Source organism: Homo sapiens, chromosome 9 (assembly GCF_000001405.40).
Source record: "Homo sapiens chromosome 9, GRCh38.p14 Primary Assembly".
NCBI classification, from domain to species: domain Eukaryota; kingdom Metazoa; phylum Chordata; class Mammalia; order Primates; family Hominidae; genus Homo; species Homo sapiens.
The window spans coordinates 129,397,798-129,418,548 of NC_000009.12; the positions used below are offsets into that span (position 1 = coordinate 129,397,798).

At 58.0% G+C, this 20,751-nt stretch overlaps 11 annotated features.

Moving 5' to 3' along the window:
* Positions 1,251 to 2,195: an enhancer, noted in NCBI's record as "H3K4me1 hESC enhancer chr9:132161327-132162271 (GRCh37/hg19 assembly coordinates)". NCBI's record gives its function as "activates a minimal SCP1, AML or CMV promoter by ChIP-STARR-seq in naive and primed H9 embryonic stem cells {active_cell/tissue: H9 hESC(naive and primed)}" and the evidence as "EXISTENCE:reporter gene assay evidence [ECO:0000049][PMID:30033119]".
* Positions 6,620 to 7,225: an enhancer, noted in NCBI's record as "H3K4me1 hESC enhancer chr9:132166696-132167301 (GRCh37/hg19 assembly coordinates)". NCBI's record gives its function as "activates a minimal SCP1, AML or CMV promoter by ChIP-STARR-seq in naive H9 embryonic stem cells {active_cell/tissue: H9 hESC(naive)}" and the evidence as "EXISTENCE:reporter gene assay evidence [ECO:0000049][PMID:30033119]".
* Positions 7,226 to 7,830: an enhancer, noted in NCBI's record as "H3K4me1 hESC enhancer chr9:132167302-132167906 (GRCh37/hg19 assembly coordinates)". NCBI's record gives its function as "activates a minimal SCP1, AML or CMV promoter by ChIP-STARR-seq in naive H9 embryonic stem cells {active_cell/tissue: H9 hESC(naive)}" and the evidence as "EXISTENCE:reporter gene assay evidence [ECO:0000049][PMID:30033119]".
* Positions 8,436 to 9,039: an enhancer, noted in NCBI's record as "H3K4me1 hESC enhancer chr9:132168512-132169115 (GRCh37/hg19 assembly coordinates)". NCBI's record gives its function as "activates a minimal SCP1, AML or CMV promoter by ChIP-STARR-seq in naive H9 embryonic stem cells {active_cell/tissue: H9 hESC(naive)}" and the evidence as "EXISTENCE:reporter gene assay evidence [ECO:0000049][PMID:30033119]".
* Positions 10,213 to 10,507: a silencer, noted in NCBI's record as "tiled region #9976; HepG2 Repressive DNase matched - State 4:PromP". NCBI's record gives its function as "represses a minimal TATA promoter and a strong SV40 promoter by Sharpr-MPRA in HepG2 cells {active_cell/tissue: HepG2}" and the evidence as "EXISTENCE:reporter gene assay evidence [ECO:0000049][PMID:27701403]".
* Positions 15,637 to 15,716: a silencer, noted in NCBI's record as "silent region_20374". NCBI's record gives its function as "represses an Ori minimal core promoter by ATAC-STARR-seq in GM12878 lymphoblastoid cells {active_cell/tissue: GM12878}" and the evidence as "EXISTENCE:reporter gene assay evidence [ECO:0000049][PMID:35858748]".
* Positions 15,737 to 15,906: a silencer, noted in NCBI's record as "silent region_20375". NCBI's record gives its function as "represses an Ori minimal core promoter by ATAC-STARR-seq in GM12878 lymphoblastoid cells {active_cell/tissue: GM12878}" and the evidence as "EXISTENCE:reporter gene assay evidence [ECO:0000049][PMID:35858748]".
* Positions 16,017 to 16,226: a silencer, noted in NCBI's record as "silent region_20376". NCBI's record gives its function as "represses an Ori minimal core promoter by ATAC-STARR-seq in GM12878 lymphoblastoid cells {active_cell/tissue: GM12878}" and the evidence as "EXISTENCE:reporter gene assay evidence [ECO:0000049][PMID:35858748]".
* Positions 16,367 to 16,506: a silencer, noted in NCBI's record as "silent region_20377". NCBI's record gives its function as "represses an Ori minimal core promoter by ATAC-STARR-seq in GM12878 lymphoblastoid cells {active_cell/tissue: GM12878}" and the evidence as "EXISTENCE:reporter gene assay evidence [ECO:0000049][PMID:35858748]".
* Positions 17,088 to 17,907: an enhancer, noted in NCBI's record as "H3K27ac-H3K4me1 hESC enhancer chr9:132177164-132177983 (GRCh37/hg19 assembly coordinates)". NCBI's record gives its function as "activates a minimal SCP1, AML or CMV promoter by ChIP-STARR-seq in naive H9 embryonic stem cells {active_cell/tissue: H9 hESC(naive)}" and the evidence as "EXISTENCE:reporter gene assay evidence [ECO:0000049][PMID:30033119]".
* Positions 18,501 to 19,000: an enhancer, noted in NCBI's record as "H3K4me1 hESC enhancer chr9:132178577-132179076 (GRCh37/hg19 assembly coordinates)". NCBI's record gives its function as "activates a minimal SCP1, AML or CMV promoter by ChIP-STARR-seq in primed H9 embryonic stem cells {active_cell/tissue: H9 hESC(primed)}" and the evidence as "EXISTENCE:reporter gene assay evidence [ECO:0000049][PMID:30033119]".

Genomic DNA, 20,751 nt, shown 5'->3' on the forward strand with positions numbered 1-20,751 from the left:
ACCAGACTAGGATTCAAATCCCAGCTATTCCATATGATAATAGTGTCATCTTGCATAAGTGTTGTAACCCCACTGAGCCTCAGTTTTCTTGGGTGGGAGGACAGACAGGAGGATATGCAGATGGAATGATTAAGTGAGTACTCTAATACCTGTAGAATACTTAGGACAGGCCCTGACACACAGTCAGTGCTTAATAAATGTTCACTCAATGATTGCATCCCACATTCTGAACTCAGCCTTGGGGACGTGTGTGAGGAGTGAGGTGCTGGGGCTGCCCTTGGGGACTCAGTGTCCGCTGAGCAAAATGATCAGTCCTGATTCAGGGCCCCTTGGGATGGTCAGGGAAAGGGCCCCATGGGTGGCCTGAGTTGGAAGGGAGGAAGCGGGGAATGATCACGAATCTGTATTGGCCAGGCCCAGGGTCAAGGTGTTGGCAGCCACAGAATACTCAGGGGACCAGGAAGAGGTCCTGGCCGGCCCTGAGGGGCATCAGGGCTGGAGGCCTGGAGACCAGAGGAAAGCCAGGGGAGGGCGGGAACAAATGTGGCAGGGATCAAAGGGGAGAAGAAAGAAATGGGTCATTTGGATTTGGCCCCCAGCAGCAGCTGGGGATTTCTGAAAGAGCCGTTTAGTGGTGGTGGGGCTGGGAGGCCATCGGCCGAGGACCGCAGTGAGGGCTGGGCAAGGGGGCAGAGAGTGGTTCACACCACGGTAGCTGCTTTCAAACACCAGAGCGGCCACTCTGACAGTTCTCTCCCTTGCTCAGGCAGAACCAGGGCCCGCCCCCTACCCCGTGTGCATTTCCAGGCCTGCCCTGGGCGAGAAGGCTCCTCCGGTTCACAATGTGCGCAATGACAAACTGCGGGCTCTGGTTGGATTCTGACAGTCTGAGCCCCATTCGGGTGGACGGGAACACAGAGGCCTCTCCTCCCCAGGAGGGAGCTGGCCAGGGGGACAGCCTTTCCCAGCAGGCCTGGAGAACCACAAACCAGGTGGTGGGCCTCTTCCTGCGGTGGCCCACACTCTCAGGATGTGAGAGATGAAAGTATGAAGGATCTGAAGCGGGGGCTCTGTGTCCAGGGAACTGCCAATTTGTCATTTGATTGTGCCCAACAGCCCCCAGGTGATCCTGTCCTGAAGTCCTTTGATGCTATAGCCAGGGCAGGGCCCCTCTTGAACGCCTCGTGTCTGCTTCTGAGGCCCCAGGGAAGGTGGCAGGCTCCCCGAGGGTCATCTGAGCTCAGCTTCTGGTCCTCTGTGAGGCAGAGCTGCCTGGGGACCCCTTGCCCACCTGGCATCCTGAGGTGACAGCTCCGGCTGGCTTGCCCCTCGCTTCCCTCCCCTACGTTACAACTTGCCATATTTTGTGGCCCGAGGGCTGAGAATTCCAACAGGCAAGAGCAGGGATGGGACCGCCCACCCAGTTCCAGTCGTGTGTCTTACTAATTATGCCACACACCGGAAAACTTAATTAAATCGATGCTTGGTGTGTAATTTCAACTAGTTTGGAAGTCAGGGGAAATCAAACAAACAGCCGCATGGCCCAGCCAGCCCCCGTCACCTTGGCAAAATCCCGCTGGGTCCCGGGTGCTGGGGTCCCGCCCTGTTCGGCTGTGGTGAAAATGCCTCCTTCTCTCAGGGTCCCCAGAGGAAACCCCTGGTCCCTCCACTCCGCAGCCTCAATTACAAACACGCACACACATATGCCCCACAGACATGCACATGCACACACACACACACGTGCACACACACACACAGCAGGAGTTGCAGGAGGAAGCCAGGCAGCCAGCGGGGACCCAGGAGGGTGGGAACACCCCAAGAACCAGGGCTGGTTTTCTTTCTTGCATTAAATGTTTATGCAGACAGCAGGAGAAATACACAAGGAAAGGCCAGGCGTCCCGAACGCAAGTCCAGCGCCTGAGCTTCCTGAGCTTCCTGGCATTCATTTCCAAGTCTCTCTTGGGCCCTCCCCCTCCTTCTCTCTGTTCCTCTTTGGGACACACCTGTGCTCTATGTTCTGCATGGAGGGGGACCTCAGCCACAGGCAGTCCTTGTCCCACAGGGGCCCAGGAAGAGCGTCCCGGTAGACAGCAGTGGCAGAGGGAGACCCCAGAGGTACAGAGGCGGAGGGGACAGGAAGCCACTGCTGGGCTGGACCTGGGCGTCCTCTAGCTCATCCCAGTGTGGGGTTTTGAACTGTGTACTCTGTCAGCAAAGAGAATTTGGAGATAAACAGAAGAGGGGCTCCAAGGCAGTGGGAGAAGCTCAAGTGAACATTTACTCAACAGCCTCCACCACCAGAATCTTTCTCCGGGGCTGAAGACGTGTGGGGTGGCACATAGCGTCACACAGGACAGACAGGCCCTGCGGAGGAGATGCGGTACCGTGAGACGCGAGGGAGCACACGGACGTCAGGAGAAGCCTGTGGCTTCCCACTCCCCTTAGAATAGTCCCCAGAGGCCACCCCTAGTTTGCGGGTGAGGAAACTGAGGCCCAGAGACCTGAGTCAGTGCGTGGCATACATTGAAGCAAATTTGAAGAGGCTCAGCCTCGGTGGGTGGCTGCGTGCTGGTGAATTGTGACTGAGGGGGCACACAGGGACAGGGACGGTGCTCAGGGCAGGCCTCTCGGGGGGTTTTGAGCTGGGGCCCAATGGACCAAGTGTTGGCTCTGGGCCGGGCACGGGGCTTTTTTTGGCAGGCGTCTCACTTCTGGGTAGCCTGCCCGTGGCTGCATTCTAGAGACCAGGAGACTGAGGCCCACAGAGCTTACGAGGCAGCCTGCGTTCTCAGGGTTGGGGAGAGTAGCCAGGGGCTCGGACCTCGCCGTGCCACACTCGCCCGTCCACCATGCCGCCCTGTTCTCACAAGGCCATGGCGCTCCCAGCACACAGGAGGAGCCCAGATGGGAAAGGGCTGGAGCATGAACGTGACGAGGCCTTGCCTTCGGAGGGGTGAAGGTCATCCCAGGGTCCCCCGGCCCCCCTGCGCACTCCCAGAGGGACGGCCCTGCAAGCGGTGGCCACCCGGACCTTGCAGGGGTGAGGCCCCAGGCTGCCGAGGAACGAAGGAGGGGCTGCTCTCGCTTCCCACGTTCCCGGGCCCTGGGTCCCTCAGCCTCCCGGTGGCCCCGCTACCCAGCTCTCACTGACACCAGCTCAGGAGCAAGCAGGAGACTACCCGGTGACCTGCCAGGTTCAGGCCTGGGCTCCAACCCTGCGGGCCACTCCCGGCCTGGCCACCCCACCGCATCTCCAAGCCCCATCTCCCTCTTGGGGACCGTGTCTCTGGGTTTTGTGAGGCTGAATTCTTCTCAGCTCTCAGGTGTTAAGACCATCTCCTCCAAGAGGCCTCCCTGAGCCCCGGCCCCCACGATGATCCTGCTGGCATTCTCTCTCCTCCTCAGGCGGCTCTGGGTTTCTTCCTGTCTAGGTGGAATGGGCTACTTCCTGCCATGCTGTCCCTCTACTCCCAGGATCCAAGGCAGACCGGAGACTGGCCAGTAGATGCAGGTGACTCCAGGGGACAATCCGGGTCCCTTCTCCTCCGGGGTGCTCGAGTCCTGAATTGACTTGGAATGTCCGGGCCCAGCCCCTGCTCTGGGCCCTGCTAGGTCACTGGTGGGTCTTCTCCAAGGAGCCGGGCCCTAGCCTAGGCCCACCCTTCCAGTGACCCCAACAAAAGGAGGGTGGGGGCCTCTGTCTGGAGCGGGCCTGGAAGGGGAACCCACTGCTCAACCCTGACAGCCCCTGCCACACTCCCCAGGATCCAGTAGTGGGGCAAGGGGGTGGGAGGGGCACGGGGATGGGAGGAGACCAGCGTAGGTGCTGAGTCTCTTGGTGGTCTGTGCCTCAGAGCCCCAGAGACACTTCACCCCTCCCTGCCCCCCTTTCTCCTGCCCTCCCTCCCTCCCTTCTTCCTCCCTCCTCCCTGTCCTGCCCTCTTCCTTCTCCTCCCCCCTTCTCCCTCCCCCTCCTTATCTCCCTCTTTCCCTCCTTCTCTCCCTCCCTCCCTCTCCCTTCTCCCTCCCACCTTCCCTCCCTCATCTCCCCAACCTCCTCCCCAGCCCTGCCCTTCACAGCTCTGCTCTCCCTGTTCCTGAGGTTCTCTTGGTCCCTGCCTCTCCCCTTTTCTCTCTCCATTTCTTTCCTCCCCACCTCACCCCCATCCAAGAGAGGGGCCGTGGGGGGCAGAGGCTTGCAGTTCCCAAAACAGTCATCTCTCTGCATCTGCACCTCTGCAAAACTGGGCGCTCTGGAAAACTGAGGCTGCCTGAGCCTGAACCTGCAGCCCTGCTCCTCAACTCCTCCCCACGCTCCTCCCTCCTCCCTCCTCCCCACCTCCTCCCTGCTCCCCAACTCCTCCCCACCCTCCTCACTCCTCCCCACCCTCCTCCCTACTCTCCTCCTCTTCTTTCCTGCCCCCTCCCTCCCCCTCCTCCCTCCTTCACCCTCTTCCCTCTCAAGCCAGTATTTTTAGCTCGCTGCTGTGCATTCGTGTGCAGGGTGCTCTCTGATGCCTGGATGAGGTTTTATCTGTCGTGGTAACCCCAAGGGCAGCTGGCAGACTTTTTCCTCTTAAGTTTGGAGCGCACTCCCCTCTTCCCCAGCTCGGGCCTTGGCTGGATTGGGGCAGGTCTCTCGCCTGCCTGGGTCTGGGGCCCGGGCTCTGCGTCCAGGCTGCCCGGCCTCCCCTCCCTGCCGCTGCCTCCTTCGCCTGCTCCCCCTCCTCTTCCTCCTCCTCGGCCTCGGGCCTTTGTCTCTGGAAGACCCGGAGCTGCTGGAGCGCCTGCCCGCGCCGCACCCGGGCTCTGCAGCCTCTCGCCGCCTTCCCCTCCCTTCTCTTCTCATTTAGCCCTTTCCTCGGGCAGCCTCTCTCAAGGCTCCAATCCTTCTGCATTTGTTCCTCGCCTTCCCTGCCTTCCTTTTTCCACCTCCTCCTTTTCTCCCTCCCCCTTTTCTCTCCTCTCCTGACACTGTTCTCCTTGCCTTTAGGGAATGGAAAAAACCCCACAGTTGGAATGTGGGGACCCCAGCTTCTCTCCCCCATCCCATATTTTTCTCTGCCCTCAGCAGCCTCCCCCTGGACAACAGGGTGGGGGGGGGAATCGGGGGGGGCATTGTGAGGGGATTCTGGGGCTGAGGGGTTTCCTGGAGCCCACGTCTCCAAGGCGAGCCTTCTGCAGGGCCCACCCTGACGCCCATGCCTTTCTGGGACTCTCTGGGGTCCAGCCTGGCTCTGGTGGGACCCCCATGTGGCCTGGGCAGGAGCCAGCACAGCTCTTCTCCTTCCCCAGGCTGTCTCTGTCCCTACAACCTGGGTTCTCAGAGATTTCTTCTCAAGGCACCTCCCTCCCTCTTCCCCGATCTGGCACCAACCTGAATTTACCTTTAAGAATATCACTTAAAATAAGCAACCTGTTGTCCTCAGCACTTTACAGCTTGCACATCTCTCTGCTCAGGTCATGGCAACTATGTACCTTGGGCCCTATTTCACTCTCCCTGGTGATAAAGGAGGCACGTGCCCAGCACCTCGGGCGCTGCCATCAGACCCACCTGAACTGGACCCAGGTCTCACCTCACTGAGCCTTCATGCGAGCACCAGGCTGAATACCTTCTTGGGGCTCAGAGACTCAGAGAGGCAGTGTCCTCCGCCCGAGGTCACACAGCCCCAGCTGGTGCAGAGGAGGTGTTTGGGGGCTAAGTGTGAGGAGCTTGCGACCTCGGGGGACTCTACCATCTCCTTTTGGGGCTGGTCTCATGCCTGTCCTCTCCCCAGGTCAGGATGGGGCCGGGACTGAGGGAGCCCCCACTTTGCTTCCTCACCTACTCCTGACCCCCCGGGCTTTTCTGTGGGGCTGACTCGGGATGGTTGGTGGAGAAGGTGCTGCCTGTCCTCCTTGTCCCATCCAAGACCCCCAGCCTCGGTACCCCTCTGTCCACTCCACTCTCTGGGCCCCCTGTTGCAGTCTGGACTCAGCTTTCCTCCTCCTCCCCTCTCCTCTCTCCCTCAGGCCTCTGCTTTCCTGATTCTTCTACCTGGGCTGGCCCCTGGCTGGGCCCCCTCCAACCCCTCTCTTGTCCCTCTCTCCAAGGGCCTCTCCCTGCAGCTGCGGTGCATACCCTGCTCTCTGTGCATTTCCAGCAGTCTTGTGTCACCCAGCCCTCTGCTGCCTGCATCTCCCCCTCTCTCCCTCTCTCTCCTGTCCTGCTGTTTCTGCTCACCCCAACATGGGCACATGCACACACATGCAAAGACACAGAGAGGCACAAGCAGAGGTCGGTGCAGACATGCAGCTCATACACGCAGCTCATACACCCAGCCCATGCAGTTGCTACTGCAGCAGTGGAGGGACAGAGGCTGGCCCCAGGAGGAGGCAGAGGAAGGGGACCCCCTGCCCAGCCCTGATGTCGCCAGGCCTGCAGGCGCCTCATGGTGGGGTGGAGTTCCAGGCTGGGCAGGCTCCCATGGTCCTGTGGCTCCGTCTTCTGAGTCTCAGGGGCAAGAGACAGCCTTGATGGGGCCAAAGCTTCCAGAATTCTGGCAGGACTCCCCAGCATACCTGACCAGTGCTGGTCCCCGGGCAAGGACCTGGAAGTGGGCACAGCCCTAGGGCAGAGGGGTTGGGTCGGGGCAGGGGCAGCAGAGACAGCCACTCACAACAGGATCTGAGGGGGCCAGGCAGCCACAGGGCCTGCACCAGGACCACTGTGTGCACCCTTGGAGGTGACTGAGCCTCCATGCCTGGGTCTAGTGCTGCCATGGACGTGGGGAGCCTCCTCGCCAGAGTTCCTGGGCCCTCTGTCCCCACTGCTCTCTAGGTGCTGGTGGGAGCCTGACAGTCCTGGGTTTGAATCTCGCCCCCTTTCACAAGCTGTGCAACTTTGAGGGGCGACTGACCCCCTCCCCCTCCCTAAGGGGGTGATGCGGCCACCTGCCCTCAGGACCCAGTGGGGCCTCCATATAGCCAGTCGGGGGGGTGGGGACAGCCCAGTGCTTCCAGGTACGGCTGTAGAGTCAGCCCTGGGTTCAAGTCCTGACACTTTCAGTAGAGGAAGGGGGCAGGGCTGGGGGTGAGCCTCCTCGCCCCGTGTGGGCCCGGGCCCTCCCCTGCAGCAGAGTCTGGTCTTGGCAGCCTTTCTCTGGGTTTGCACTGGGGTCAGAGCTGGCACTGGATGTTTCCAGTTTGGGGGGTTCTGTCTTGTGGGGGTCTGAGTGAGTGGGGGGCTGCTGGTATTGGCGCCTCTCGCTGGATGCCCTGGGCTCTCAGCCATTCTGCTGATGTCCGCTGAATGTCGTCGGCCCTGAGTTGGAGTCTGGGCGAATCTCTGGACCCAGGGAGCCTCTGTTTCTTCCTCCAGAAAATGGGGATAACAATAGCACAACCCTCCCGGTGTGAGGCTGCACTTAGATCACCCTGGAATGCTCTGAGCTCAGCAAGTGCTGAGGTTGACATGGGAGTGGGGGTTGTTCGCTGTTTTATCTGCTGGGCAAGGCTTTAGGTATTCAGCCCTTCCCTCTGCCCTCAGCCCACATGAAGTTTCTGCTCCAGGGTCCAGAGCTCAGGGGCCCTGTTCCCCAGTTTTCTGTGCCCAGCAGAAGAGCGGGGGGAACAAAAGGGGGACGGAGCCTGCCCCCTCCCCAGGGCTGGAGGGGGGGGCCTCCCACTGTGAGCAGGGCCCAGCCCCTCCCCAGCTCTGACGCAGACCCCTGGACATTGGGAGGGTGCTCTGCTCCCTCAAAGATCTGGCTTTGCCTCAAGATTGGAAGCCAACCAAGGAGGGAGGGGCAGGGGCTCCGAGGGAGGCAGAGTGTGGGGAGTAAGAGGGTCACCCGCACCTCCATGAGCAGGGGACAGGGTGGGCTGGAAAGACGCAAGGCCACAGGGGCATCCTCAGAGTGCTGTCCCCAAAGTCAGGGTCCGTCTCAGCTCCAGTAGTGAAACCCGTCTTTCTCCTGTCTGCATCCCCTTCCTCCTCATGGTACCTGTACCTCTACTGACTTTATATTTATTTGTTAATTCTCAGGCTCCGCCCAGAAGAGTGTCAGCTCCTTGAGGGAAGGGATGTGGTCTCATTGTCTGCTGCATCCTCAGCACTGGGTAGGGTGCCTGGGACATTGAGGTCTTCACCAACAGCTGTCGGGTGAATGAGTGAGTGAGTCAGTGAGTGGCTTCTGGGGCAGCTGAGGCTTGTGGCTTGAGAACACCAGCTCCACCTGGCCCTTTCTAGATGTGGACAGAGGGCAGACGCTGACCTGCTCGTTGATAGCCAGCCTGGGGGTGGGACAGCCTTCAGGCGTGGCTATGGAGTCAGCCCTGGATTCAAGTCCTGATGCTTTCAGTAGAAAAGGGAGCAGGGCTGGGGGCTCAGCCTCCTCACCCGGTGTGGGCTGGGGCCCTCTTGGGCAACAGGGTCTTGTCTTGGCAGTCTTTCTTGTGGTTTGCATTGGGGTGGGAGCCAGCACTGGATGTGTCAGGTTTAGGGGTCACGGTACCCCAATGTCTTTCTCAAAGCCTCAGGCTGAGGGCCTTGCGGGACCAGTGCCCTCCCTCCTTGCTTTGGTTTCCTTGGCTCAGCCCCTGGCCACTCCCCGGCACTACCAGTAGATCACCGTGTCCTCCCCACTTGCTCTCCCACCACGAGATCCTTTGCATAGGCCGTTCCCTCCGCTGGGCACGCCATTCCCGCTGCTTTCTGCATGGCTGCTCCTGAGACTCCTTCCCTCCCCCGAGGCAGCCCCACCTCCCTGCAGGGCGTGCCCGGTGACTCCCTTCCGCTTTTGCACTTAGCCCAGCCCGCATGCATCTCTCAGGTCACCGTGTTTCTCTTTGCAGGTCACTTGCCTGTCTCCTCCTTGGAAAGTTAGCTCCATGCAGGTTCGGCCTGGGCTGGCCTGCCTGCCGTTGCCTCCCCAGTGCCCTCACAGTGTACACCATGGAAGGTACCAGAGTTTAGAGCAAGACCTAGCGCACAGTGCACGCAATGGTGAATGAATGGATGAAAGAACAGGGGAATGAATGATGGAAGAAACAAGAGTGTGAGTTTTGGGATTAGACTGCCGGGGTTCGTATCCTCATCAGGTCTGACCCTTGGGCAAATTATTTAACCTCTCTTGGCCTCAGTTTCCTCATCTATAAAATAGGTATGATCATAGTGCCTACCTCTTAGGGTGGTTATGTGGATAAGTGGTTTCAGGGAGTATTCGATATCTGCAAGTGTGTCACATGTGAACATCACGTGAGCTTTTTGAGCATAACCTGTGCAGACCCCAACTCTTGATGGGGTCTCAGGAGCAGCAGTGCAAAGGGCAGCGGGAATGGCATTCCCGGAGGAGGGAACACCATCCACAGGATGTTTTGGTGGGGGAAAGCAAGAGGGGAGGGGAGAGAGATGGATTGGCAGTGCCAGGGAGTGGTTGAGGGGGCTGAACATCCACAGAAACTAGCCACGAAGAGGAGGAAAGCCAGGCCAGGGGGAAGCAGGAGGATGTGAACCAAAGCAGGGAGCGAGGGCTGGTCTCGCAAGGCCCTCAGCCTGAGGCTTTGAGAAGGCCATGGAGGTACAGTGACCGCCCCCAACCCCAGCCCCACCCTAGCTTCTCTTGTAGTCTTCCTCATCCCAGGAAATGAGACCTCCCACTGTTCATGGCACAGGAGTCAGGCTTGGTGCTTTTCTTTCTTCCACATCCACATCTGATCCTTTTACAAATCCTGATGGCTCTACTTACAATATATCTGAAATCCAGCCATTTTCATCTCCACTGCTGCTGTCCCCGACCAGGCCACCACCATCTCCCCTCTGGGCTCTGTCGGCTCCTGGCTGAGAATTCTGATCAGTTCCCCAGACTTCCCTCCAGCCCCTTCAGTCTATTCTCACTCAGAAACCACAGAGATTGTTTAAAAACACAAATCAAGCCGGGCACGGGGGCTCAAGCCTGTAATCCCAGCACTTTGGGAGGCCAAGAGGGGGTGGATCGCTTGAGTCCAGGAGTTCGAGACCAGCCTAGACAACATGGCGAGTCTTCATCTCTACAAAAAATTAAAAAATGAGCCAGGTATGGTGGCATGTGCCTATAGTCCCAGCTACTCGGGAGGCTGAGGTGGTAGGATTGCTTGAGCCCAGGAGGTTGAAGTTGCAGGGAGCAAGATCGCAGCACTGTGCTCCAGCCTGGGTGAAAGAGCGAGGCCTTGCCTCAACACACACACACACACACAGAGACACACACACAGACACACACACTGACCCTGGGCTTGCCTCTGCCTTCACCCTCCCTGGCTTCCTGGCTTCAGGTGTCCTTAGAGTTAGGACACTGGGCACACCCACCCCAGGGCCTTGGCACCTGCTGCTCCAGCCCTGATCCTCTGCTCCGGGCTCCCCACAGGTCTCAATCCCTCCCTCCACCCAGGTCTCAGCTCCAGTGGCATCTCCTCACATCCCTGGCCTCCCTGTCCAAAGTCCAGCCCTCTTGTTCTCTGCTCTAGCCCCTCACCCTGCTCCCTGGATCCTAGCATTAGTTTCCTGGTTCTTTGTCTTTCTTTCCCAGAATGTCAGCCTTGAAAAGGCTCGAACTTGGCTTTTCTGTTCAATGTCTCCTGTTGTATAGAAGAGTGCCTGGCAAGAGTCTGTGCTCATAAATATTGATTGGACAAACGAATGAATGCTAACTATGACTATTATTACCATTATTGGTCGGCAAAAACTAGAGGAAGATAGATTGAGGAGAGGGTTGATGTGATTATGTCTAATAAGAAAAAACAACAACAACAAACAGTGGCCTGCTCCTGCCTGGCTTCCGTCAAAGACCAAAGACCAGTGGGCTTTCTGTCCTCCGGGCTCTGTCTTCCTGCTGCCATGGTTACCACGCTCCGTGGGCTCCAGAAGAAAGGCCAGGCCAGGCTGACTTTGCGGTTCTGCCCAGCTTCCTTGGGTAGCCCAGGGCCTGGCAGAGAAAGATCCCATCCAAAAGCAGCTGGCTTCTCCGGTCTTATCTCCGTAGTGCCCAGATGGAGGGACAAGGGAGGCACTTGCTGTTCTTCCAGAAAAAAACAGTCCAGGTTCACTCTGCATTTGTGCAGGACCTGGTCATGCTCTGGGCAACTCAAAGACGTTCGGATCATGGTCCCTACCCTCTGGGAGGTTTCTGGCAGCGGGGTGGGGCCAGAGACAAGCACTGACTTAGCTGTGTATAAAAATAGCAAGGGCTTGCACGTGACAGGGACAAGTCAGGTGCAGAGAAGCAGGGAGAGCTCTCTCACCCATACCTGCCCCCCAGCCTCGCTGTCCTCTCACCCCAATGGACGCCCTCTTGGCCAAGGCGGCTGAGCTCCCATGTCTCCACCGGGTGCCATCCCAGACTCCCAGAGGCCTGGGGCTGAGGGGCTCCCTCCACAACCCCACGTCTCAACCAGCGGCTGACAGAGGTTAGAGGGCTTGCACAGATCTTACCGCTGGTGGCTGGCAGAGCTTCAGAAGGGTGCAAAAGGGACACTAACTTGGCAATAGCACCCTGGGATCTTCTTTCTCACCTCTCTGCTCCTTCAGCTGACAATCCAACCCTGCTCTCCACCGCTGAGAACAGGCTCTGGACCCCCAGAGACCCTCTGAACTAACCACTGCACCCCAAGGAGCAGCTGCAGGGTTTGGGGGTCCAGGACTGAGGCCTAGGACCATCACCATGGCGGTCACTGTCATCTCCATGACTACAATCATCACCTCCATGACCAACTGCCATCACCTCCATTATCACCACTATTGTGAGGGAAATTGTGTCCCCCCGAAAGATAGGTTCGGCCAGGCGCGGTGGCTCATGCCTGTAATCCCAGCACTTTAGGAGGCCGAGGCGGGTAGATCACCTGAGGTCAGGAGTTCCAGACCAGCTTGGCCAAAATGGTGAAACCCCAGCTCTACTAAAAATACAAAAAATTAGTTGGGCATGTTGGCGGGTGCCTGTAATCCCAGCTACTTGGGAGACTGAGGCATGAGAATTGCCTGTATCCAGGAAGCGGAGGTTGCAGTGAGCCGAGACTGCGCCAATGCACTTCAGCCTGCGCAACAAGAGCAAAACTCCGTCTTAAAAAAAAAAAAAAAAAAAAAAAAGATAGGCTCAAGTCCTAACTCCAGTCCCTCAGAATGCGGCTTTGTGTGGTCTTTACAGAGGTAACCAGGTTAAGGTGAGGTCGTTGGGGAGCCCTAATCCAATAAGAGTGAGGTTCCTATAAAAAGGGGAAAGGTGAACAGACATGGCAGAATGAAGATGACGTCAAGATGAAGGGCAGAAGGATGGGAGGACCGGAGGACAGGAGTGACACAGCCACACGCCAAGGCTGCCAGAAGCTGGAGAGAAGCCTGGGACGGAGGCTTCCCCGGGGCCTTCAGAGGCAGCATGGTCCTGCCCACGCCCTTACTGTGGACCTCGGGCCTCTGGAACCGTCAGACGGCTCTAGCAGGAGAATATAACCACCATCAGCATCACCACCACCATCAACATCACAACCACCACCATCAGCATCACAACCACCATCAACATCACCACCACCATCAACATCACCACCACCATCAGCATCACCACCACCATCAACACCACCACCACCATCACCATCACAACCACCATCAGCATCACCACCACCACCACCACCACCATCAGCATCACCACCAACATCACAACCACCATCAGCATCACCACCGTCATCAGCATCACCACCACCAACATCACCATCACCACCGCCACCACCATCAGCATCACCACCATCACCACCACCACCATCACCATCACCACCACCATCAGCATCACCACCACCATCAACATCACAGCCACCATCACCATCACCACCATCAACATCACAACCACCATCATTATCATCACCCTATCCTCATCCTCAACCTCAACACTCCTGTATTTGTTTCCTTCCTTACGGCTGAGGAACACATCACTACAAACCTGGTGGCTTACAACAACACAGATGATTCTCTTGCTGTTCTGAAGGCCAAAGGTCTTCAGCAGGCTCGGGGAGGACCCTTCCTGCTGCTTCCAGTTTCTGGCAGCTCTAGGTGCTCCTTGGCTCGTGGCTGCATCACTCCACCCTCTGCCTACGTCTACACACAGCTTCTCCTCTTCCGTAGGCACTTGTGATGACATTTAGGCCCCACTTAGGTCATCGAGGGTGACCTCCTCCCAAGATCCATAACTTAATGACATCAACAAAGACCCTTTTTTCCAAATAACGTCACATTCACAGGTTCCAGGGATTAGGGTGTGGACATATTTGGTTGGGGGGTGCACCATTTAACCCACTACAACCACCACCACCACCAGCATCGCCATGGTTGCATCAGTTAAGTTCTAGAAAGTACCAGGTCAGTCCAGGGCCCTCACCTGCGTCATGGCCTTTCTTCCTTAAGACAAACTCAGAGCAGGCTCTGTTATTTATTTATTTATTTATTTATTTGACGGAGTCTCTTTCTGTCACCCAGACTGGAGTGCAGTGACGCAATCTCTGCTCATTTCAACCTCTGCCTCCCAGGTCCAAGTGATTCTCTTCCCTCAGCCTCCCAAGTAGCTGGAATTACAGGTGCCCGCCACCACGCCCAGCTAATTTTTGTATTTTTAGGAGAGATGGGTTTTCACCATGCTGACTCGGCTGGTCCTGAACTCCTGGCCTCAAGTGATCCGCCCTCCTCATCCTCCTAAAGTGCTGGGATTACAGGCGTGAGCCACCACGCCCGGCCCAGGGTCAGTTATTACCCCCATTACTTAACACATAAAGAGGCCAAGTCTTGGAGAGAAGAACTCGCTGGCCCAAGGCTTCGCTGAGAAGGAAGGATTTGAACCCTAGCACTCTGGCGACAGTGGCCCCTGACTGACAGTTGTCCTGCCCCCAGCCCCAAACTTCTGATCATACAGATAATTCCACAGATGAAAGAGTGGGGCAACCAGCACCTGAATGGAAGGCACAGCGCCACGGTCCCATCTAGGCTCTATCACCAGCTGGTGGCGCATCTTAGCCCCATCTCCTTCCCCTCTCCAGGCCTCAGTTTGCCCAACTGTAAAACAAGAAGTGGGGGTAGTTGGTCTGGGTAATCTCCGAAGTCCTCCCAGATCTGGGGTTCTGCAACACTGGGTGTCTACTGTCATTTTGTCACAAACTTTGCCCAGGGCTCCGACTCTCGCATCAGCTAAACCCTCTGAACCCACCACCAGCTCTGCGTGGACGGTCAGCCTGTGGGGTGAGTGCTGGTGACTCGGCGTGGAGGGAGGTATAGGCCTGCCCGATGCCTGTCCGTATCTCAGGGCTGGGAACCTCTGTCTTACACTCCACAAGCGCTGGGGTGGGATGGGGTGGGAGTGGGGTGGGGTGGGGGTGGGGGTGGGGTGGGGATGGAGGATGCTCTTTCTTCTTGGAACCAGTGACTTTGGTTCACACATTCAGGGAGGGCTGTGCAGCTGAGAGCGGCTGGTGCTGGGAAGAGAGCTGAAGATCACTTTATCTTGAAAGGGCAAAGGTCTCCGTGACCAAAGGCTAACCGCATGTCCTTGGAAGAGAAAAAGAAAAAGAAAACATGAAACAGGCTAAAGGGGTCTCTGAAAGTTGTTTCCAAAACCTGGGTTGTTCACTAGGAGTTGCTTGTAAGTGTAAACACTTTTTTATTTTTATTTTTTGAGATGGAGTCTTGCTCTGTTGCCCAGGATGGAGTGCAGTGGCATGATCTTGGCTCACTGCAACCTCTACCTCCCAGGTTCAAGTGATTCTCATGCCTCAGCCTCCCTAGTAGCGGGGATTACAGGCGTGCACCACCACGCCTAATTTTTGTATTTTTAGTAGAGACTGGGTTTTGCCATGTTGACTAGGCTGGTTTCAAACTCCTGGCCTCAAGTGATCCTCCTGCCTCGGCCTCCCGAAGTGCTGGGATTACAGGCGGGCCGTGCCCGGCCAACATTTGTTTTTCTGAACCCATGGTATGGTGTGCACTGCAGAGGCTTTTTCCTCTGGCTTCCCTGTCCAGAGCAGCAACTGTATGCATTTGAGCTGATAATGTCCAAGAGTGGGGAGCTGAGTTAGGAACAGAATCACAAACTTTAATTAGCAGGATGACATTAACATCCCAGCAGGGGCTTGGGGGCGTCCTTCAGGCCCATCTGATCCCGGTGGACACCTCCCCACAGGACCCGCAATCTTGGGACACTGGAAGCCAGGCGCCCTTTGAGGGTGGAGGGAGGCCACCCACCTCCCCATGTGGCCAGAAATTGCATGCCCCGGCAGCCTGCCCTGGCTTGGTTCAGCAGGGCCCAGAATGTTCTGGTCTTTATCTGGTTTAGTTTTAAGTGCTTCCAACGGCAGCAGGGCTGTTCCACCACAGTCCCCAGGAAATTGGTCCGTGTAGGACGGAGCCTTCCCGAGAATGAAGTCATCTGTTCCTTTTTTATTTTTTGTTGCCTTTCTCCTTCAACGCGAGTCACCGGGCCTCTGCAGTCCCTCCCCGCGCCAACGCGCCCCGCCGCGGGGCCCGGACGGGGTGGCGGGGGAAGGGGCGAGGAGCAGGGCCCCGGGGTGCGCGGCCGCCCGACGCCCCCTGCTCTCGCCCTGCCCCCCGCCCCGGCCCCCGCCCGCCGCGGCCTGAAGGTGAGCTCCCGGGGGGCCGCCCGAGCTCCGGCGCGGCCCGCTCGGCAAACAATAACAGTAAATAACGCTCCCTTGTCAACGTAATAAAAACGGAAACGGTTACAATGTTTTTTAATAAGCGTCCCCCATCAATCTCCCTCCCCCTCGTCCCGGGCCGTGGGCACCGGGGAGGAGGGGGAAGGGTGGGGGGCACCGGGGCGCGCTGCTTGGGGGACCCGGGGTGCAGGAGGAGGACGCCCGGGGGAAGAGGGGAAAACACAGCAAGTGAGAGACGAGGGGGCGCGAGCGGCCGGGGTCACGCGCGCCAGCCGAGCCGGGAAGCGGCCGCGGTGAGTAACACCGTTGCCATGGCGACGTGGCCACGAGGAACAGGAAGCGGCAGAAATAGCAGCCACCGCGGCCCGCGCCGCCCGGCCCCTCCCCCCAGCCCGTTGCCACGGAGACCGGGCCAGAGCGAGGCTGCGCGGGCGGCCGCGGCCGCCTGCGCCCCAACCCGCGCATGCGCAGCGGGGCCTGGCCCACGAGGGCGTCGCGGGTGTGTCCCGTCGCCGCGCCGGGGCCACCTGGACCCCCAGACCTGCCCCTGCCGCCCGCTTAGGTGGTGGTTCGGGGGCCGGGGGAAGGAAAAGCCAAATCGTTCCTTGTTTGCCTTTGGAAAGCCGCCCTGCCATTGTTCCGGGCGGATTCCTTGGTTTCCAGGCGCTGTAGGCCAGGAGAGGAGGGGGCAGGAACCCCGGCCCAGCGGTCCCAGACGTTTTCGAAGCGACAGACCCTGGGCCCAGCGCGGGGACGCGGAGGGGACACGGGCTAGCAGCCCTGCCCTCCGGAGCTCAGGCCCAGTCCGGGCTTCCCAGGCCCCGGGGCTGCCCTCCCGGAGCCCGACCTCCCCTGGGGGTGGGGGTGCTGCCCCGGGGCCCCCTTCCTGGGTTTCCTGGTCCTTTTGTTCACGTATCCCCCTCCCCGGATTGAACCAGCAAAGAGCACAAAGCAGAAAATACATCCTTGCCGCCCGCAGGCTCCCTCATCCCGCAGAAAACTCTGAAACAGTCCACACCCGTCCCAAAGTTGAGAGAAACCTGGACGTTTCATAAACAAAACCCGCCCTCCAGCAGCGTGTTTATGTGGAGGCGGCCTCGCGTGTCTGAGGCTGGGGTGTGTGTGCTCGTGTGTGTGTGTACGTGCGCCGGGGACACGCGATCATCTCTCAGGTGTTTGTGGAGAATTTTTTTTCTCTCCAGATTTTGTTTGGTTTGTTTTTAATAAGGGTCAGAGGTCTGGGCTTCTGTGGGGAAGGGGCAAAGGTCATCTCGGATGGCCAGGCTGGGAGGTCCTAGGGGGAGGGGTCGCGGGGCCTGGGCTGCCGGGCGAGGCGGGAGCCGGTGGGAGTCAGCGGGGACAGGCTCCGCGAGCTGCTCCTGGGGTATGGCCCCAGAGAGGACCCGAGCCAGGACTGGGATCTCTCTCCCCTGAGCAGGGCAGCTGTCACTTCCCCGGCCCCTGTCCTGGCCACACTGGCCAAGAGAGAAGGCAAGCGGAGTGGCCCCGGTCTCTGGGGCTTTCTGCATTGGAAAGGGGAGGCTTTTGTTTTTTGTACAAGGCGGACTTCAACTTTCAGCGAGCAGGCTGACCAGATGGGAATGTAGACAGGGTGTGCGGGGAAGGGGGACCGCATGCTTCAAACCTCCTTCCTGCCACCATCGCCTAGCAGCCTGAGCCCCCACTGCGGCCCTGTGCTGGCTGAAGGGAGGGAGGGGCTAGGGCTGATGTTTCTTCTTCCCTCCTTCCCCCACCCCCCTTTTCCAGATGTGAGAAAGGAACCCCGCCCTGCAGGGGAAACTTGTCTGGTGTCCAGAAGACTTAGGATCCACGGTGGAGGTCTGGGTGCCATATTGCCGTCTCTCCTTGAAGGAGAAGATGAACACATAGGGAGAAGGCGCCTGGGAGCTGTCGCTACAGTCTAGAGAAGCCCCACCTTGGCCCAGCAGTAGCCTGTGCTGAGAACCGGGATTCCAGGACCAGACAGTCCTGGCGGTGGATCCCGGCTCTGCCGAAGCCACAGCTTGTGTATCTGGACAACAGGGATAGCGCAGTGCCCGTGTCACAGGTGGTGATGGCTCCTGGAGGTGGTGCACACAAGCTCGTGGCATGGCATCTGGTGCACAGTAGGTGCTAGAACATAGAAGCTGTCATTGGAGCTGGTGTGACCCAGGATGGCCACCTTGGGTCTCTGACACTCTGGGGCTGGCTGTGTCCCAAGGCAGGTTCATCTTTGGTCCAGCCTCCAGGAAAGGAGCACTGGACTGGGGTCAGGAGAAGCCGAGGCCAGGGGTTCTGCCACCAACCCATTGTGTAATCCGAGGCAAGTCCCTGAGCTGCTTTGAGCCTCAGTCTTCCCATCTGGCAAATGGGGATAATAATCACAACCACCATTGATTGTGAACTTACTCAGTGCCAGGTACTCCACCGAGGTCTGTACATTTCCTTATCTAATTCTGCCCTCAAAACAACCAAGTGAGGTAAAGACCACGATGATCCCACTTTCACAGATGAAGGGGCAGAGCCTCAGAGAGGTGAAGTCACTTGCTGGGGACACAGCTGGAAGATGGTGCAGTCGCTGTCACACACCCCTGAGAGCGAGTGTCCAGCTGCTGCTCCTGTCTCTGTTGTTCCCCTGCCCTTCCTGCTCACCCCCTGTACTTTTCGGTGGCTCCGGCCACAGCCCTCCCTTTGTATTTGAACCCTTGGATCCAGCCATTCTGGAATCTTCTGAGTCTGGTGCAGATCCAGCCCCCTCAGTGGGAGACATCCTCAGGGGTAGATGGTGGCTTGAAGAAAGCCAGGTGGGCCCCACATGGTCCCCACAGTCAACCCGGCGGCTCACAGCTGATCGGCCATCCACCGTGTCTCCCCCTGCCATTTACACCGAAGGGTTGGGGTTCCTAACACACCCGGGTGGACGCGTGGCCTCCAGATGGTGCAGTTAATCCCGCTGGAAGCCGTAAATCAGCGAGATTGTCCCAGCTTCCCCTCCCCTCCTCCGTGCTGTCACCTCCAGAAGCTGGTGGGAGAAGCACCCCTCCAGCCCCGCCCTCCCGCCCCGGCCTTTGTTCCTGCTCAGTAGCCGGCAGGACGTGGCCCAGTCACGGTCTCCACGGCCCACGTTTGAATCTCAGCCCTGTCACTGCCTGGCACGGTGGCTTTGGCCAAGCACTTCATCTCCTGTTATCCTCAGTTTCCTCATCCATGAAATAGGGTGGGTCACAGCACCTGCCTGGTCCTAAAGATGGGGGCTGCTGTGTGTGAGCGCTCCACCCTGGACCTGGCTCCCGGGGGGTCCTCGGATATGCTGCTGGTTATAACAAGTTCTTACTCTGGGCTAGGTGTTGTAATGCTTTAGCTCAGTGAATCCTCAAACAAGCACATTATGACCCTTTTATAGGTGGGGAAGCTCCCACTCCGAGAAGGGAAGTAAGTTGCCCAAGGCCACACAGCCAATTAGCAGAACTGGGATTAAATCAGGCAGGCCTGTGCAGCTCTAAAGACCTCGCTGTAACCCTAGGTTCCTGGCCCTCCCTACTGAGGCCCTCTGAGGCTCTCTACCAAACCAGCATCTGCAGTGACAGCATCGTTAGCCCTGCCTGGAGCCGTTGGGTTAATAGGTCCTTAATAAAGCCAGCAGAGGCGTCTGCAGCTTCGCAGGGCAGGGGCCGAGGGGCCAGGTGCAGCAGATGTGTCCTAATGAAAATATCGGGGGGGGGGGAGGGGGAGGGGACCATGGGGTGAGCCGCCTGCTCACGTCTCCAGCTTCCTGACCTCTGTGGCTGAGTCACTGGAGGCCTCCAGGTGCAGGGGACAATCAATTCCATCACTCATTCCATCTATGCTGGCTTGCTTCCTTTCATCCATTCACCCATCATCCATCCATCCATCCTTCCATTCCATCCATCCTCTCCCAGTGACTCATCCTCCCTCCCTGGCTTCCATGCATCCATCCATCCATGAATCCACTCACCCATTCCCTCCTTCCCTTCCTCCTTTCCTTCTCTCCTTCCTTCTGCCCATCTGTCCACCCAGTGTTTACTGAGCACCCGTCTTGAGCCAAGCCTTATGTGACGTGCCCAGGTTCCTCCCTCTGAGGGACTCACATTCTCAAAAGGATGCAAAACAACTAAGCCCAAGTGCACAGGGCACTAGGAGAGGAGAGGGCGTCTCGGGGGCTCTGACACTGGGCTCTGCACACCTTCCTCAGCCAAGCTCGCCAGGTGACCTTGGGCAGATCACACTCCCTGGAGGCCACTCTCTTCTACCTGTTCAAAAAAGGGTGTCCTCGTCCATTCGGCTGCTATGACCTTAGACTGGGTTATTTATAAACAAGTTTATAGTTCACATTTCTGGAGGTTGAGAAGTCCAAGATCAAGGTGCCTGCAGATTTGGTGTCTGATGAGGGCCCTTTCCTCACAGATGGTGCCTTATAGCCTTGTCCTCACATGGTGGAAGGGGCGAGCAGGCTCCCCAGGCCTCTTGCCTAAAAGCATAGATACCATTCATGAGGATGGAGCCCTCATTACCTAATCACCTCCCAGAAACCTCATCTCTTAATACACATTGCAGATAATGGTGTTGTTTGTTTTTGTTTGTTTGTTTTTGAGACAGGGTCTCCCTCTGTCACCCAGGCTGGAATGCAGTGGTGTGATCTTGCCTCACTACAGCCTCCGCCTCCCGGGTTCAAGCAATGCTCCCACCTCAGCCTCCCGAGTAGCTGGGATTACAGGTGTGTGCCACCACGCCTGGCTAATTTTTGCATTTTTAGTAGAGACAGGGTTTCACCATGTTGGCCAGGCTGGTCTGGAACTCCTGACCTCAGGTGATCCACCTGCCTCAGCCTCCCAAGGTGCTGGGATTACAGTCGTGAGCCACCATGCTTGGGGCAGATTATGTCTTGACATATGAATTTTGGGGGTGGGGGAGTCAGGTCATGGCAAAGGTGGTGCATTGTGGCATCTCCTGTTCTGTATTTCTACAATTCCAAGCAGGTGAGGAAGCATCCAACTAACTACTCCCCTGAGAACCCATTCCCACCCTGGGCCCTGGGATCTGCCTCCAACACCTGCAGGGTCCCCGGATTGAGGTCCA